Here is a 19,328-nt window from a genome sequence, read left to right as displayed (position 1 = left end):
CCAAGGTCATCCCATTTGTAATGTAAGTGCTCTAATTGTCCTTAATTTTAAACCAAACATAGTTTCTCTTGGGAGTATGGAAGACTGTTCTCATCCCAATTCCCAATAGCTGTTTGCTGCTTTTCTTCCCTTTCAGTTCAGGTAGTAAGTGACAGTCCCTGGATAGGCCATTACCTATCCCCTTGGTCTAAATTAATTATTGAAATTTCGTAGTGTAATGATGGTCATATTGACTGACCCACTTTTGGCCTACAAGATTTAATTGAAAGGCTGCCAAAGAGGATAAGACTCCTGGGACAAAAATATAAAACTTCACAATGTTAAAAAGAATTGTCATTCTTTTGTCTGGAAAGCAGAAATAAAGCCTGGAGCTGTAGCAGCCACCTTATAATCATAAGGCAACAACCGTTGGACTCAAGTGCCAAAGCCAATAGAAAGAAAATGACACAGCACAAAGAAATAAAATGCTTGTTTCCATAATAATATATTTGAATTCCAGCATTAATTTTATACTGCCTAAATCTGCTATTACATTTTTTGTACTCATTTGGTTTTTTCATAGTTGAAATATTTCTGATCAAGGTACTGTACTTATAATCTTGCCCATGGCTGTGAAACAGAGCAAATGAAGTACCCACCAAATGGAACTGATTACCTAGGATTTACTTTTACTAATCAATAATTTCTAGCCTTTTTTCAGAGTTCTTCCTTGTTTAGAGTAATAATAGCTGAAAAGCAATGGTGAAAATCCATACCACTGGTAATATCTAACTGCCTGTGAATTATAAGGTAAAACAAAAACAAAAGTAGACTGCTACCAGAAATTCTTGGTCAAATACTATGTATATACATGTTTAAGGTAAACTGCACCAACCTTATGACAAAACAGAACTAATTACATGGATTACTTTTAGCTGAGCCCTTACCTTGTACTCCATGCTATGCTTAGCCTTTCACATTCACTGTGTAATTTGTGTATCACTCTAGGTGGTTGTCATATTCATCATCATTTTAAATGTGAGAAGGTAAAGTAACTAAATATAATAGCAAGCTTAACCACAGACATGCAGATGGAAAGTGTCACACCAGGATTTGAATCTGGATCATTTTTTTTTAAACCACAAAGATATTCAGTGTCTTTAAAGCCAACTAATTGAATGAAACAACTGTCAAACCAGTGGTTGGGTATTTATTTACTGATAACCTGAGGCCGGGTGTGGTGGCACACACCTGTAATCCCAGCACTCTGGGAGGCCAAGGCAGGTGGAACACTGGAGCCCAGGAGTTCAAGACCAGCCTGGCCAACATGGTGAAACCCTATCTCTATCAAAAATACAAAAATTAGCCTCATTTGGTGGTGCACACCTGTATTCCCAGCTACTTGGGGGGCTGAGACATGAGAATTGCTTGAACCTCGGAGGCAAATGTTGCAGTGAGCTGAGATCACGCCACTACATTCCAGCTTGGGCTGTAGAGCAAGGCTCTGTCTCAAAAACAATAATAATAATAATAATAATTTATTTACTGATTACCTGAATAAACTGTCAGTACTTTTGAGAACCAAGTCTGTTAGAGTCACCTGGTCACTCAGCTGAGCGGCCATTTACATGTACTTTGTGTGGATTGCAACACAGGAATCCCATGGGCCATGTATGTTTTTGCTATTTCACTCTTCCCTAGGTCTAGGGCAGTTCACTTCACCCTAAAAAGCTGTTTACCCTCTATAATGCTTTGAGAATTTGGGAGACATTTCCTATCTTCAAATCATGTTTAGTTTAGCAAACCTGTGCATAGGCAGAGTGCTTGGCACATTAGAAATGATCAGTAAAGGTACACAAATAAACAAATAATTTGAATAAATGAGTACATGGACAAAGCAGTTGGCTAACTGAATTATTGATCATCAGTAGTTGATTCTCACTTTGTATTCGCCCTTGAGGCTTGAGTAAGTGTCTCACTTCTAAAGTACGTTATTTTCCCCCTCAATTTGACTCGTTTGCTGCAATAAGTTAGCTCACTTTAAGAAAACACTTTACTGTTCAAGAGTACATTTCTTGGTGGTCTCACCTACATCTCTGCCACAAGCACCTAAAACATAAGGATGGTGACAGATGAATCAGTGCACCATGTTGTTACTTAGTTGTCATTCCCAAAGTATCATAGGGCTGTTGGCCCTCACTGCTAATGCTTCCAGGAAGAAAATACCCAAAGCACTTGAAAAAACTATCTTGTGGGATGCTTTAATTGTTAGTTGGCTAACTGAAAATACCAGCAAAGAGATTAAAATATTTATGATTTCTGTTTGACTTTGAATTCATATTTGAATATGAATTTTTACCCATATGAATTCATATGGGTAAAAAATACACCAAATGGATCTTTGGAAAAATAAAAGATTTCATCATTGCTATTTATTCACTACATGTGCATCAGATTAAGCCTGCTTCAGTGATGTTTTATATTCTCACTCTTTGTTCCATTCACGTTTGATTATATATTCATCTGAGTGAGGTGGTGGCAGTTGGTAGTAGGAGAAAGAGAATGCTTCTTTCTATATATATTCAGAAATAGTTTATTAATTAATTTTATTGCACAAGCATTTGCTAAGTACCCACTACAGACATGACAATGAAACAGTAATTAAAAATTCTGATCCCACATCCCCAACTATTGAACTTATTCCAGACATTCTTAACCAGTCCTAAACTCAACAACATAGTGTTTCTAATTTGTAATCCAAAACTTCTGCTATTTGCAGGCTCAGTTAATCTTAGCGCCATTCACCAATGTCACTCAATTAAAAACCAAATGTATAATTATTTTGATATCTTGTCTTTTATCTAATATATGAAGTCCCTAAACTTATTGATGTTACTTCTTATACATTTTTCAAACTTGCACCCTGTCTTTCTCTATTATCCCTTGATAACCATGGAATCTCCTTTATAGGGCTGTCTTAGGTGATGCTTGGCACATAATAATATTGCCTAAATGCCAGGTATTATTTGGAGGAGGAGGAGGAGGAGAAGTGGTGTACTAGTTCGGATAAAGGAAAATTTTGTGCTATGGAAAGAATAAGAATTAAGTCAGCCAAACAGCAATGTAATAAAAAGCCCAGATTCTTTCTTTCTGCTCTCCCACATGGTCAGATATTTTGTCATAGTTTAAAATACTGCATCTGAGCATGAATATATCCATTGGAAGAAGAGAAACTATCTAGACCAGTGTCTCTTTATAAAATGAAGAAATATTTTTCAAAAGCTTTCAGCAAAACTCCCCTCACATCCCATTGATCAGACTGTCACATGCATGCTCCTCAGCCAATCACTAACAAATTCAGTGGATTTTCTATAATTTCCTTGGACTAATCTGGATTTATCCCTGAACTGAGGATGTGAGTGCCTCATCAAGAAATGGATGCATAAACACAGTTGGAATTCAGTTACTAATGAAGGGGTGAGAGTTGAGCTGTTTGCCAGGGCCTCAGCAGTGACCACAATCAGTACATAGTTGCAATTCAAGTCTTCTATACATCTTGCATGGGTGACTGTAATAGCCTCCTAACTAGGGGGTTTAACTCTAATTCCTGCCCTCCTCAATCCCTTCTCCACAATGTTACCAAATCTTTCTAAAATATGGATGTGGTGCCTTCTTAAGCTTTTGCTTCGCTTTCTACATACATTACAAAATACAAATTTATCAGCATAGCATTTTAAGTTCTTTACGCAACGGTCAAGGATTATCCTTCCAGCTTCATTCCCGATGCCTATATTCCTTGATCTAGCCAACAGATACAAGCATCTTACACTCTCAGCTACACAAACATACCAGAAACTTCTAAACTTTTAATCCCTGTACTTGCTTTTCCCTTGATTTACAATTGTCCCTCTCTGCCCTCATCTAACTAGGGATAAATCTCATTTATCTGTCAACACACTTCTAGTATTACCTTTCTTCTGAAGACATATGCTAAATTTGTCACTCCTTTGTAAGGCATTTCAAACATCATAATACCCCTAGACAAAAAGCTGAAGAATACATTTCTGGAGAAACTGGCCTCAAAGGGAGAGGAAGAGGGGTAAATGAGCGAAAACTACCATTGTAAGCTTTTGATCATCATTTGACTTTTAAAACTATATACATAAAATATTAAATATTATTCATATAACTGTTAAATTAATTCAATTAAGAAATTACATTTTAGAATAATATTAAATGTGTATTTGAATATAAGTTTATATATAATTAAATTTCAAAATTAAATATTACACCTGAGAATAATACTACCTACCTAATGAGATTGCTATTAGAATTAAATAATAGGTCCCAAACACACCTTAACATTGAGAATAAAAGATAGTTAATGAATGTTATTTGCCTTGACATCTCTTTTCATCTTCCACCTGCATTTGTTCATTTATGAAACAAATATTTACCATGTACTGTATGCCAGGCACTATTTTAGTATTCCATGAGAAAGTAAAGCAGAGTTGCAGTACAGTAGAAGAGATAGGGTGAGCTAGAATCACTATACTACTCCCCAAGTGTTGAGTCTACGGAATTGTAGATGAATTTTAAAACACTGCACATAAATGCAAAATAATATAGCCTGTATTGTTATAGTGTCACAGTAAAAGGGAGAATTTTGTTGTTGTTGTTGTTGTAAAGAATAGCCTACATATACTTTTCTAGTTTTCACCATACTTAGGTTCCTCTCATGAAATGCTTGCTTGTGGGTGTCAGCAAACTAAAGACACATGGAACTCACTGTGATATACAGTTTACATTTTTATTAATGACTTCAGATTTAAGGCTATGTTAGTTACTCATTTCTTGAGGCCATATTAATTTATGAAGGCACACACATTTATACACACACACACAAACACACATCTCCTTTACTAATCCACAGAAATAGGTATCTTCAAATATATTTCTGTTCAAATCTTGACATTCTCTGAATGAGAAAATAACCCCTGAATGGATAATTTGGTAACTTTAATAAGGTTTACTGAGTTTGTAAAAGACCATCTCTTGTTTTAATACTATTTGATGATTAGTGATACATTGATTGAGAATTAACAACTATCTTGTTTATAGAATTCATTTAAAGGGCTGTTAAGCCCTAAGCTATGATTTAAAAAATGATCTAGGCTCAGTTTAGCATTCATTACACTAAACATGTCAGCCAATGCCAGTCCAGAAAAGTGAATACCACTTCATTAACAAAACACAGAAATGCTCACTGACAGCTGGCAAAGTCCAATCAGAACTAGCTCACTACTTTTGTATCAGCATCTGTTTCATTTTGCTAATCGACCCTGCTTCCCTCATTTTTTCTTTTGGGAAAGAAGATGGAAGAAAAGATAGCTTGTGAACCTCAAAAGAAGAAAAAAAAAGTAAAAGAAATACCCTGTGTGTGTGGATGACAGAGAGAGAGAGAGAGAGAGAGAGAGAGAGAGAGAGAGAGAGAGAGAGAGAGAGAGAGAGAGAGATTTTAGTTTGGAGAAAGAAAGGCCATGGTTACTTTTACTATTTATCCTAAAAAGAAATTATTGAAGGACAAGTGTAAAATGTTGTCACGTGTAAGGGACTAAATTTAGCCTCTCCGATGTCAGGTACCCCGATTTTAACAAATGCAACTGAAGTGGAAGATAGAAGAAACAGAATAATTTGTATGGAAAAAGTTGCTACAAAATTCAGGCTATATTATTTTACATTTATGTAGGGAGGACTTTAGTAATCTTGCTTAAGTATTCTTTATTTCTTTCCTTTTATTTCTATTTGGTAGATGCAATCTCTGATTAATTCAATTGAACACAGGAAGTGCTCATCTTGTGGAAAGTAAAAGGGAGAAAATGCTTTTGTTGTCACCTACTCACCAATTTGCATAGTTACAATCTCTCTCCCCCACATTCCTCACCAGCCCCTCACCAGCCCCCAAAAAAATAGTAGCAAAGGAAACTGGCAGAGGGGACAGAAGAAAGGACTAAAGAGAGAGAGGAAAAGACCAGTCATATAATATGTTTGCCTACATGGCATTCTACCTTTGAACTTCCAAGTGCAACTTTATACATTGTCTTTTGACATTATGCAGTTTGGAATCCTGAAAGCTCTCAGTTTAGACAACTAAATTATTGCTTGTCAATTTAGCTTGGGATGAAAGACAGGTGTTTTGTTTCACAGTAAAACTCCATTTAAAGCTTACATTGGCTTTAAATCCAATCCCAGCATCTTGTTGTGGGATGGCATTGAAGTGTATCTCAGTAGGAATTATCAGTCAGCCCGACAGTCAGTCCACACAAGCTTCTTCTTCACCTTGGTTCCTCTGGTTGGGCACGCCTAACACTATTTAAAAGCAATTGAGATAAAGACCCCTTGGAACTCCAAGGGTTAGCGTTCTTGGTCATATCGCACTAAGATTTTTCCTCTAACAAAGAACTAAGCTTAGCGAAGTTGAAAATCCCTATTAGTCATCTTAGAAGCCAAGGCAATACTTCATGATTCTTTAGTAAATATTTGTTAAAACTGTGATTTAATTTATTAAATAGCTATTTTTGTATTTCTAATTTAATGAAATAATGTAGTGGGTCCTCTATTCAGGAAATTTTTCATTAGTACATATGCACTTGTTACTCTGATTCAGACGTTTGATGTAAAAGGCCCAGCTGAGTGGCTAAAATTGTCTTTTTATAGGCTGAAAAACAAAACTTTTCTGCAAGCCTCTTCACTTCTCTAACCTCCTCTTCTACTTTGCTATAGTTTCCACTATTTCTAGCATCATCTATTCTAATCTATGCAATAATGAAAACTGGTCACTTCTACTCATTACCATGGTAGAGAGGAACTCTCAGCAAGTCTAGGAAAATCAAACCATGGTTCTACATTACATTTTTGTCCTCCTGTAGTGGAAAATAAGTAGTGGGGACCTTATTTAACATGGGTAAAATTGGCATATACATAGATCTTATAATATTTACTAGTTCATAATTCAAAACTTTAAAGTAATGGAGGTTTTAAAGTAAAAGAAGCCTAGTTCTTCTACTCAAACTCCACAACTGTTTTAAAGAAGATTTTACGTAACTTGACTAAGTTCAAAGATCAAAGTAGTTCACGCAAAGCCAGGACTAGACCCAGGTATTCTGATTGATAAACTAGTTCTTTTTTTTTTAATCTTTTTTTATTTTTTTTAATTTTACTATTATTATACTTTAAGTTTTAGGGTACATGTGCACAACTTGCAGGTTTGTTACATATGTATACATGTGCCATGTTGGTGTGCTGCACCCATTAACTCGTCATTTAGCATTAGGTGTATCTCCTAATGCTATCCCTCCCCTCTCCCACCACCCCACAACAGTCCCTGGTGTGTGATGTTCCCCTTCCTGTGTCCATGTGTTCTCATTGTTCAATTCCCACCTATGAATGAGAACATGCAGTGTTTGGTTTTTTGTCCTTGTGATAGTTTGCTAAGAATCATGGTTTCCAGCTTCATCCATGTCCCTACAAAGGACATGAATTCATCATTTTTTATGGCTGCATAGTATTCCATGGTGTATATGTGCCACATTTTCTTAATCCAGTCTATCATTGTTGGACATTTGGGTTGGTTCCAAGTCTTTGCTATTGTGAATAGTGCCACAATAAACATACGTGTGCATGTGTCTTTATAGCAGCATGATTTATAATCCTTTGGGTATATACCCAGTAATGGGATGGCTGGGTCCAATGGTATTTCTAGTTCTGGATCCCTGAGGAATCGCCACACTGACTTCCACAATGGTTGAACTAGTTTTCAGTCCCACCAACAGTGTAAAAGTGTTCCTATTTCTCCACATCCTCCCCAGCACCTGTTGTTTCCTGACTTTTTAATGATCGCCATTGTAACTGGTGTGAGATGGTATCTCATTGTGGTTTTGATTTGCATTTCTCTGATGGCCAGTGATGATGAGCATTTTCTCATGTGTTTTTTGGCTGCATAAATGTCTTCTTTTGAGAAGTGTCTGTTCGTATCCTTTGCCCACTTTTTGATGGGGTTGTTTGTTTTTTTCTTTTAAATTTGTTTGAGTTCATTGTAGATTCTGGATATTAGCCCTTTTTGTCAGGTGAGTAGGTTGCGAAAATTTTCTCCCATTCTGTAGGTTGCCTGTTCACTCTGATGGTAGTTTCTTTTGCTGTGCAGAAGCTCTTTAGTTTAATTAGATCCCATTTGTCAATTTTGGCTTTTGTTGCCACTGCTTTTGGTGTTTTAGACATGAAGTCCTTGCCCATGCCTATGACCTGAATGGTATTGCCTAGGTTTTCTTCTAAGGCTTTTATGGTTTTAGGTCTAACATGTAAGTCTTTAAGCCATCTTGAGTTAATTTTTGTATAAGGTGTAAGGAAGGGATCCAGTTTCAGCTTTCTACATATGCCTAGCCAGCTTTCCCAGCAGCATTTATTAAATAGGGAATCCTTTCCCCATTGCTTGTTTTTGTCAGGTTTGTCAAAGATCAGATAGTTGTAGATATGTGGCATTATTTCTGAGGGCCCTGTTCTGTTCCATTGGTCTATAGCTCTGTTTTGGTACCAGTACCACGCTGTTTTGGTTACTGTGGCCTTGTAGTATAGTTTGAAGTCAGGTAGCGTGATGCCTCCAGCTTTGTTCTTTTGGCTTCGGATTGACTTGGTAATGCGGGCTCCTTTTTGGTTCCATATGAACTTTAAAGTAGTTTTTTCCAATTCTGTGAAGAAAGTCATTGGTAGCTTGATGGGGATGGCATTGAATCTATAAATTACCTTGGGCAGTATGGCCATTTTCACGATATTGATTCTTCCTACCCATGAGCATGGAACGTTCTTGCATTTGTTTGTATCCTCTTTTATTTCATTGAGCAGTGGTTTGTAGTTCTCCTTGAAGAGGTCCTTCACGTCCCTTGTAAGTTGGATTCCTAGGTATTTTATTCTCTTTGAAGCAATTGTGAATGGGAGTTCACTCATGATTTGGCTCTCTGTTTGGCTGTTATTGGTGTATAAGAATGCTTGTGATTTTTGCACATTGATTTTGTATCCTGAGACTTTGCTGAAGTTGCTTATCAGCTTAAGGAGATTTTGGGCTGAGATGATGGGGTTTTCTAGATATACAATCATGTCATCTGCAAACAGGGACAATTTGACTTCCTCTTTTCCTAACTGAATGCCCTTTATTTCCTTCTCCTGCCTAATTGCCCTGGCCAGAACTTCCAACACTATGTTGAATAGGAGTGGTGAGAGAGGGCATCCCTGTCTTGTGCCAGTTTTCAAAGGGAATGCTTCCAGTTTTTGCCCATTCAGTATGATATTGGCTGTGGGTTTGTCCTAGATAGCTCTTATTATTTTGAGATACATGCCATCAATACCTACTTTATTGAGAGTTTTTAGCATGAAGGATTGTTGAATTTTGTCAAAGGTGTTTTCTGCATCTATTGAAATAATCATGTGGTTTTTGTCTTTGGTTCTGTTTATATGCTGGATTATGTTTATTGATTTTCATATGTTGAACCAGGCTTGCATCCCAGGGGTGAAGCCCACTTGATCATGGTGGATAAGCTTTTTGATGTGTTGCTGGATTTGGTTTGCCAGTATTTTACTGAGGATTTTTGAATCGATGTTCATCAAGGATATTGGTCTAAAATTCTCTTTTTTGGTTGTGTCTCTGCCAGGCTTTGGTATCAGGATGATGCTGGCCTCATAAAATGAGTTAGGGAGGATTCCCTCTTTTTCTATTGATTGAAATAGTTTCAGAAGGAATGGTACCAGCTCCTCCTTGTACCTCTAGTAGAATTCGGCTGTGAATCCGTCTGGTCCTGGTCTTTTTTTGGTTGGTAAGCTATTAATTATTGCCTCAATTTCAGAGCCTGTTATTGGTCTATTCAGAGATTCAACTTCTTCCTGGTTTAGTCTTGGGAGGGTGTATGTGTCGAGGAATTTATCCATTTCTTCTAGATTTTCTAGTTTATTTGCATAGAGGTGTTTATAGTATTCTCTGATGGTAGTTTGTATTTCTGTGGGATCGGTGGTGATATCCCCTTTGTCATTTTTTATTGCATCTATTTGATTCTTCCCTGTTTTCTTCTTTATTAGTCTTGCTAGTGGTCTATCAATTTTGTTGATCTTTTCAAAAAACCAGCTCCTGGATTCATTGATTTTCTGAAGGGTTTTTTGTGCCTCTATTTCCTTCAGTTCTGCTCTGATCTTAGTTATTTCTTGTCTTCTGCTAGTTTTTGAATGTGTTTGCTCTTGCTTCTCTAGTTCTTTTAATTGTGATGTTAGGGTGTCGATTTTAGATCTTTCCTGCTTTCTCTTCTGGGCATTTAGTGTTATAAATTTCCCGCTACACACTGCTTTGAATGTGTCCCAGAGATTCTGGTATGTTGTGTCTTTGTTCTCGTTGGTTTCAAAGAACATCTTTATTTCTGCCTTCATTTCATTATGTACCCAGTCATTGTTCAGGAGCAAGTTGTTCAGTTTCCATGTAGTTGAGCGGTTTTGAGTGAGTTTCTTAATCCTGAGTTCTAGTTTGATTGCACTGTGGTCTAAGAGACAGTTTGTTATAATTTCTGTTCTTTTACATTTGCTGAGGAGTGCTTTACTTCCAACTATGTGGTCAATTTTGGAATAGGCATGGTGTGGTGCTGAGAAGAATGTATATTCTGTTGATTTGGGGTGGAGAGTTCTGTAGATGTCTATTAGGTCTGCTTGGTGCAGAGCTGAGTTCAATTCCTGGATATCCTTGTTAACTTTCTGTCTCATTGATCTGTCTAATGTTGACTGTGGGGTGTTAAAGTCTCCCATTATTATTGTGTGTGAGTCTAAGTCTCTTTGTAGGTCATGAAGGACTTGCTTTATGAACCTGGGTGCTCCTGTATTGGGTGCATATATATTTAGGATAGTTAGTTCTTCTTGTTAAATTGATCCCTTTACCATTATGTAATGGCCTTCGTCTCTTTTGTTCTTTGTTGGTTTAAAGTCTGTTTTATCCAAGACTAGGACTGCAACCCCTGCCTTTTTTGGTTTTCCATTTGCTTGGTAGATCTTCCTCCATCCCTTTATTTTGAGCTTATGTGTGTCTCTGCATGTGCGATGGGTTTCCTGAATACAGCACACTGATGGGTCTTGACTCTTTATCAAATTTGCCAGTCTGTCTTTTAATTGGAGCATTTAGCCCATTTACATTTAAGGTTAGTATTGTTATGTGTGAATTTGATCCTGTCATTATGATGTTAGCTGGTTATTTTGCTCGTTAGTTGATGCAGTTTCTTCCTAGCCTTGACGGTCTTACAATTTGGCATGTTTTTGCAGTGGCTGGTACTGGTTGTTCCTTTCCATGTTTAGTGCTTCCTTCAGGAGCTCTTTTAGGGCAGGCCTGGTGGTGACTAGTTCTTATTCCACTATATAGCCTTGAATAAAATGTTTTACCCAAATGATCTTTAGCACTCTTTATAGGGTTCCATGAGTCTTTTATGATCAAGACTTGGGGCCTTTGTAAGTACATAACTTTTCAGTTAAGCTTAATTTAGAGAAGATTATAACTACATATTTATCATAGTTATTATATAGTCTCTGTTTATCTTTCAATGTAGCAATCGTTTTGACTTTTTTCCCCTGATAATGCTTTGATTAGAATGAAGACTCAGTGACAAGGTTCTCTTTGAGCTTCAATAAATTAATACATTTCTTTCAATGGATTTGTAAAACATCTTGAAGATGAATGCACTATATTATTTAATATATATCTTTCAGTGTCTAGCATAATGCCTTGTCCATAAAAGGTTCCTAATGGATATTTGTTGAGTTTCTGATTTTATGTGTTTGATTCAGTTTCCTTACCTTTATCATCTAGGATTCATCATTCATTAATAAAAAATATTATTTTCTTTGGGCAAAACTTCCTGTTAACCAAGCAAACTATTATTAGTCCATCTTTGACCTAATTTTCAGCTAGGCGTATGTTGATCAGGTAGGGGTATGATGTGACCAAATATAGTCGTTTTATTTGGCTACAAGATGTATACTAGAAGGAGATTTAACTAAGAACAGTTGGATTTTTATGAACTCACAGAAATATCCTATGCTGAAATAGTGAAAATGTCTGCCTTAGTCTTTTAAAATAAACAACCAAGTATGTTTTTCATCTGTCAACTGGAAATACCAATACAGGACTATTGTGAAAAGTCAAGTGGATTAGAGGTGATGGTAATAAAAATGTTAAAAGCAACATGTAAAATGAATGACATTGGGAGTAGTAATCATAATTATAAAAAACATAGTAACTCTGAAGTTTACTGCATATTCAGGGGTTAGAGAAAGGATCTTGGGTCAATTCTTAACAAACAGACAGAAAGAGTTCTTCAGGTTCTAGGGCCAATGATTCAAGACATAAAACACGCAGTAATTGACAACCCAGGCTTTCCCTACTGGCCTTTAGTTCTTACTCCGCCTATAAAAAAGAACTTCATTCAAATGCATGGTTGACAATGAAATGGACGTTTCATCACATTGCCCTACTCCTGACCTCCACACTGACCTCCAGATCACCCCTCAGTCAAAATGTTAAAGGAGTCACCGAATGCAGTTTTAAGCTGAATTTAGCCTAGTTTTCTGAAGAGAAAGCCAGAGAGTAATGTATTTTCAGTGGTGCTTTTTTAATCCTGTAGTTGAAGGCTTCTGTGCCATGATTAGCGTTGATGATATCATCAATTTATCAGTTTATTGCCAAGGTGTGTTTCTTCTTTCATTTTTCATGTATCTCCTAAGCCATTAAATATTTTAAAAAATAACAAAAACAAAACTTTGAAAAAGGGAGAGCTACCTACATTTTTTTTGTTGTTTACAATGCAAAAGATATTAGTATTTTCTGACCTGTTCTGTAAGTTATCTCTGAGTCAAATTTAGAATTTATCTGGATAAAAGGTAAGTGAATAGGTTGGTCCCAGAACCCAAAATGGAGCATGTGGTATGACTGGATTTTAGCATGACCTTTTTCTGTTTATCTGGCAACAAATCAATTAGCTGTTCAAGGAATTAATTGTAGAAGAAATCATCCAATCAGGTCCAGAAATTACCTAGCATATGATTAACCAAATTTTTTGGTTTTGATGATATTTTTAATAACAAACTTGGTTTTCTTTGGCTTAAAACAAATATGAGCAGGCTATAAAGAATCACACAAGCAAATGCAAATCAGTTAATTAATTAAGAAGTTCAGTCAAAATAGTTCTATGGCATTGTACATCAATTGACTCCTAGGCTTTTTAACATGGACATTTGGTTCCCCCTAGTTTTTTAAGGAGTTTCTAAAACCACACGTACCAAATATTATTCAAAAGATTGCATAAGGTTTACATACATTTGTACTACTATTTTTGTGTATACAAAAGCGTCTTAAATTAAAATTAATTTAAAATGCATGATTTCGTTATACATTTTCTTACAACATGTGTACAACTGTTACTGTTGCAAAATGGCCTATAAATTTTTTTTGGCCTTAAAGGGAGCATTCTTGTTCAAAAATATTGGAAACATGGCTTAAATAAAATGACTTTTTTTTTTTTTTAGTCTTTAGCTACTGGGCTATAAAGTAGGTACATGTCAGACTTTTCTTCTCAGAAAACTGTCTGTGCCAAATGACCACTTTGGGATTTTCTAAACCTAAAACTCATTTTTTTCTGTTTGACCTATAAGCCTTGAGACATACTTGAACTACCTTTTAATTCTCTTTAGGAATTGTAAAGATTTGTTAACTAACCTGACTATGGCTCAATGGTCATGTGGCACTTACATTTGAATGGAGGATTTTATCAAATGAATGATAAGTTCACCAAAATGTTAATTTTTAACATAATGATAAATCCTTCAACTATTGTATTCACCAGTTCACACAAGATAATGTTTATATTCACTCAAATAATATTTAAGATCCTTCATAATTTTTTTCTCAATATACCAGCACCTCATACACTAGAGTAAGGTTTGGCAAACTTTCCATTAAGGGGGAAATAGTAAATACTTCAGGCTATGTGGGCCATACATTCTCTGTCACTACCACCCAACTCTGCCTTTGTAGCACAAAGGCAGCCATAGACAACATGCATATGAATGATTGTTGATGTGTTTCAATAATACTTTATTCATGGAAACCGAAATATAAATTTCATGTAATTTTCATATGCCACGAAATAGTCTTCTTATTTTTCATTTTTTCCCCTAGCCATTTAAAATTTCAAAACATTCTTAGCTCATGGGCTGTACAAAAACAAATGGTGGGTTGGATATGGCTTCTGGGCTGTAGTTTGCTGACCCTTACACTAGAGCATTTTCAAATATTTTCTGAACATGCTATGAGTTTCTGTGCTTCCACACCTTTCCTTTTTATAATTTGTTTTCTATTTATTTCAATAGGTTTTTAGGGAGCGGGTGTTGTTTGGCTACATGGATAAGTTCTTTAGTGATGATTTCTGAGATTTTAGTACACCCATCACCTGAGCAGTGTACACTGTAATCAATGTGCAGTCTTTTATCCCGCACCCTCCTTGCACACATTCCCCCAAATCCCCAGAGTCCATTGTATCATTCTTATGCCTTTGTGTCTCGTAGCTTAGGTCCCACTTATGAGCAAGAACATACGATGTTTGGTTTTCCATTGCTGAGTTACTTCACTTAGAATAATAATCTCCAATTCTATCCAAGTTGCTGCGAATGCCATTATTTAATTCTGTTTTATGCTGAGTAGTATTCCATGGTATGCCTATACCATGTTTTCTTTATCCACTCATTGATTGATGGACATTTGGGCTAGTTCCATATTTTTGGAATTGCAAATTGTGCTACTATAAACATGCCTCTGCAAATATCTTTTTCGTATAATGACTTCTTTTCCTCTGGGTAAATACCTAGTAGTGGGACTGCTGGATCAAATGGTAGATCTACTTTTAGTTATTTAAGGAATCTCCATACTGTTTTCCATAGTGGTTATACTAGTTTACATTCCCACCAATGGTGTAAAAGTGTTCCATTTTCACCATATCCATGCCAACATCTATTATTTTTTTTATTTTCTCATTATGGCTATTCTTGAGGGAGTAAGGTGGTATTGCATTTGGTTTTGATTTGCATTTCCCTAATAAATAAATACCTTCCATTATATAGTTCCCACATTCTTATATCTTTCCCTTTTTACTTTGCCTAACTAAATGCTAGCAAAACTAAGCTCAAGTGACACTCTCTCTAAGAATCTTTCCATGATTATAACTCACCATGTCATGCAAAACAAGAATTTTATCCCATTTGGTTCTAGTAGTACTTTGCACATGCTCTGTTATAGGAACAGAGGCAAAACACTTAGAAAGTCTGTGCCGAATATTTCTTCAATGAACCAATCAATCAATGAATAAATGAATGATAGAGACACTAACGAATGACTTGTACCACAACTGTTTACTGAGGTATTTCCATGACCTAAAAGTGAGTCCCATATGGGGTTCCAGTTGTAGTCATCTTTCTTTCCCCAAGGCCTGAAACATGTTTGCTGTGTGGTAATATTGGTAATATTTTAGGAGTTTTGTTGAATTAGTGTATTGAAGGTGAAGCTCAGAGATACAGCTAGGGAAAATGGATTTTATTTTTTATGGGCATTCTTATGTTTCTGAGTTGAAATAGTTTCATCTGATTCTCTACAAAATGGCCATACCTAGCTCCCCAAAGCTAAGTTAAAAGTCACAGATATCCACTTTCCTGTCACTACTTGTAGACACATGCTTGTTTATATTTGGCTAATTAAAATTAATCACCCTAGTTCTCCCTTCCCTTCAAGGGCATTACTTCCCATTAACTTCAATGAAGCTTGTTTGACTTCAGTGAAAGTTTTTTACCTGCATAGGGACAGTGAGGAATCAGGACAAATATCTTTAAGGCTGTCATTTGTCACCATGAACAAAAGAAATAGAGATCCTTAGGCATGAGCCGCCGTAACACACTTCATGTGCCTCTCTTAATTCTATCCTTGCTGACAACCCATGACTGCCACATAAAAGAAAGCATCAGAATTATAATTGAATGGTTCTGAAATATCAGAGACAGAACCTCTGAAAAGAAGGTTCACAAACTTATTCGTTGGCAAGGTTAGTGATTTGATACCTACAAACGGCCAGAACACTGGTGACAGCATTTCCAATGCACGCATATGCATTCACTTTGAGTCAGGGTTGAATAGGAAAGCATGGTAACTCAACTTCATTCCACCAGCACACAGTTCTTTGACAACCCTCTACTATTCAGAATACCCCTGAGCAAGAGAAAGTGAAAGAAGAGGAAAGTGAAAGAAGGGAAAGGCATCTGAGACACTACAGTGATATCATAATATCCATACTCTGAAACTTGAGCATTTTATTCATGGTATATTTATTTCAGTCAGAGTAACAGATACTAGGAGCATTTGGCAAAATTGGAGTGCCAATCTGGAGAGTACCTAAGCAGAAAGCCTCCGTTTTTAAAGATTCTCCATGTATAAAAAAATTAAGGCAAACTAGTCTTATTGTTTCTAATAATCATCAAGTTAATTATTTTTCACAGGAACAGCATGGCACACCCCCTAAGATGATTGTTCCAGAATCCCCACCTTAATCATGCCATGTAGCAACTGTTTCTACTGTATTTTTATAACTTATTTAACAAGACTATTTGCCAGCATTTAAGTGAGATAATACATATATAATCCCCAGTCCTACAACCTGGCACTCAATAAATAAACTAGTTCCTTCTTTAAGCCTTATCTCTTCCGAATAAAATAGAATTTTTAACTGAATAATCTAAAAAAAGAAACATGCAGCAAAAGATTACAGGGCAACCCACACTCACCCATATGGGCATGAGGGTGTAAGGAAAAAACTGACGTTTATTGAATTCCAAGTCTTAGAGCTGGGGCTTTATATATGTGATCTCATTTAAATGTCCTAAGTAGTCCAGTAAAGAAGTTGATATGGCTTGCATTAATATTTAGAGCTTATAATTAAAATTTTAAAATTTAAATTATAAAAAGAACTGTTCCCTAAACCTTGTTCATCCTCTACTCGACTTGGTTAGTTAGCCTCCCTCAATGTGAACAAACATCTACCTGAAATTTCGTCATTAAGTCATTCTTTTGGTTAAGACACTGTCTCTGTAAAAGTTTCCTATTAAAGTGCATGTTATCTGGGTCAGATAAACTACAAAGTCATTAAAATGCACTAAAATTTTCATAGAAATCAAGTAATCAGATAAAAACAGCTTTGCCTTTGGGAGAAAAGGATAAATGAGACTCTGAGAGAAAGAAAGCTAGATCTTAGAAGCTGAAACCAGGAACAACCCATTTTTGGGGGTTCTGGCTTTTGGGATGTAGCATGTGTATGTTATGGTTCAGAGTAGTAGGGGATTGCATGGATAACACAAAGCATCCTTGTTAAAGAGTGCATCAAAATCAAATTCCACTTCACAGTTCTGATGAGGACAAAGGGCATTGCAGTAAACATAAAACCATCTTCTAACTCACTCCTCCACTCTCCAATCAGAAGGTCCTTTCCCTTCTTTGCTATTGGCTTTCCAATGGAGCAGCAGATAAGCATTGTGTGTGCTTCATAGCAGGCACTGCACTGTAAAACAAAAAATCACAATATCAATCACCATAATTGATACTAAAGCCTGAAGCTGGATTTGGGTGGGAGGCTGAGTCAATCTGTCAGTCAACGAACGAGACATTTCTATTGGCAGAAGTTTCCAGCCCCATTTCTCAGTGCCAGAGAGGTACACTGTCCAGAGAGCTTATTCCTTATGGTTTTAGCTTCTTCTATTTGTTTTACCTTGTAGAGTAGCTTAGCAAACCTCCTTTTAACATCTTCTGCCTATGATGCTTATGTGAATGTAGTAGAATATCCTATATCTGCATTCATGTATAATTTCTCTCTATGTAGATTATCTTAACACATCCAAAACCAAATGCATTATTTTGTGAAGAATTTCCCAAACTCTCATGATGAAAAGTGTTACTTGGGGCAATTGTTAAAAACACAAATCCTTGGACTCTGGAACCCATGCCTGCTCAGGGAGAGGCCCAGCTCTCTGCATATTTAACATGGAAGTGATTCCCACCTCTGAAAGCCCATCATGATCAGAACTCCTCTATCTTCTGTATTTCCTACACAGGGCCTAGCACTTGGAGACACATCGCTTCACAAAATTTTATGAACTAAATTAATGAACAGATATCATAGTTATAGAGACATTAAGTGACCAGTCTATTCCTCCAGCACCCATTCAATTGTCTTCAAATTTTGCTGACTTTACCTTTACAAGAATAATGAATTCTTCCCTCTTCTCCATTCTCATTCTGTTATCCTAATTGAGGTTCTCTTCATCACTCTCCAGAAGTGATGAATTAAAGATCATAGCTCTTTAATCTCCTTTTTCATGGTCTCATCCACTGTTATCCAACCCTTAAAGTTCCACCAGTGGAATCTTTCAAAAACACAGATCACTGTGTTGCTTGAAAACCTTTCAACAATTTACTCTTCTCCCCCCAAAACCTGGAATAATGTCTCTAAGGCTCAGAGCCTGGCATAAAGTAAGCCCCTTAAATATATAGGGATATAATTTGTACTCAAAGCTCTTCAAAACCTGATCTCCATGTAACTTTTCTGTTTCAATTCTAATCTCAATCTGCACCTACTTCAGTGCCCCTACTGGCCCCTGCATTTCCCTCAAAAACTAGACCATTTGCATTCCACTCTGTTGTGCTCAGGCTGTTGCCTCTGCTTTGTATACCTATTCTTTCCTTCCTTCTCTTTCCCACGCTAAAAGAAACTCCAATTCGTCAAAAAATGTTTAAGTCTCAAATTTTTCTTAAATTTATTTAAGTCTCTCTTTGGGCACAGGTAGCATGTGAGCAGGTCTAACAGAACTCAGATACAGATTCTTGTGAGTCCTGACTCATCCTTTTCCTTTGGGGTGCTCTGACACCCCATTTCACTTCTGCACTTATGGGGCCAACCAGATGCCCCAAGACCTCTGCAGCTTGAGCCTATGGGATCATTGTGGGGTTGTCCTGAAGCCACATGGACATCTGGTTCCAGGAAAGTGACCTGGTGAATGTATTTTTCCTGCTAGCCGGTACAGTATTTCTTTAGGAGTATCATGTCATAATGGTGCTGACATGCTGATTTTGTATGACTTTCAAATCAGACACAGAAGGAGTTTAGGACTCTGGACTACCTATAGTCCACTGCCAGCCTTGAGCTTGAACTATGTGTGATCCATGCTTATCCACCCATGTTCTGACCAAT

General features: G+C 36.6%; 2 long non-coding RNA genes across 7 annotated transcripts in view; one reads left to right on the top strand and one right to left on the bottom strand.

Annotated features, from left to right (window-relative positions):
* LINC01793 (long intergenic non-protein coding RNA 1793) overlaps positions 1-19,328 on the bottom strand; it is a 61,693-nt gene that overhangs the window by 6,596 nt on the left and 35,769 nt on the right. Inside the window, exon 2 of the long non-coding RNA NR_110219.1 lies at positions 17,543-17,642. This is a non-coding gene — a long non-coding RNA (long intergenic non-protein coding RNA 1793). The remainder of the gene's footprint in view (positions 1-17,542; positions 17,643-19,328) is intronic.
* The window catches only part of LOC105374754 (uncharacterized), a 150,795-nt gene that overhangs the window by 116,704 nt on the left and 14,763 nt on the right, over positions 1-19,328 (top strand). The window lies entirely within an intron of this gene.

Source organism: Homo sapiens, chromosome 2 (assembly GCF_000001405.40).
Source record: "Homo sapiens chromosome 2, GRCh38.p14 Primary Assembly".
NCBI classification, from domain to species: domain Eukaryota; kingdom Metazoa; phylum Chordata; class Mammalia; order Primates; family Hominidae; genus Homo; species Homo sapiens.
This window is presented reverse-complemented; position numbering and strand designations above follow the sequence as displayed.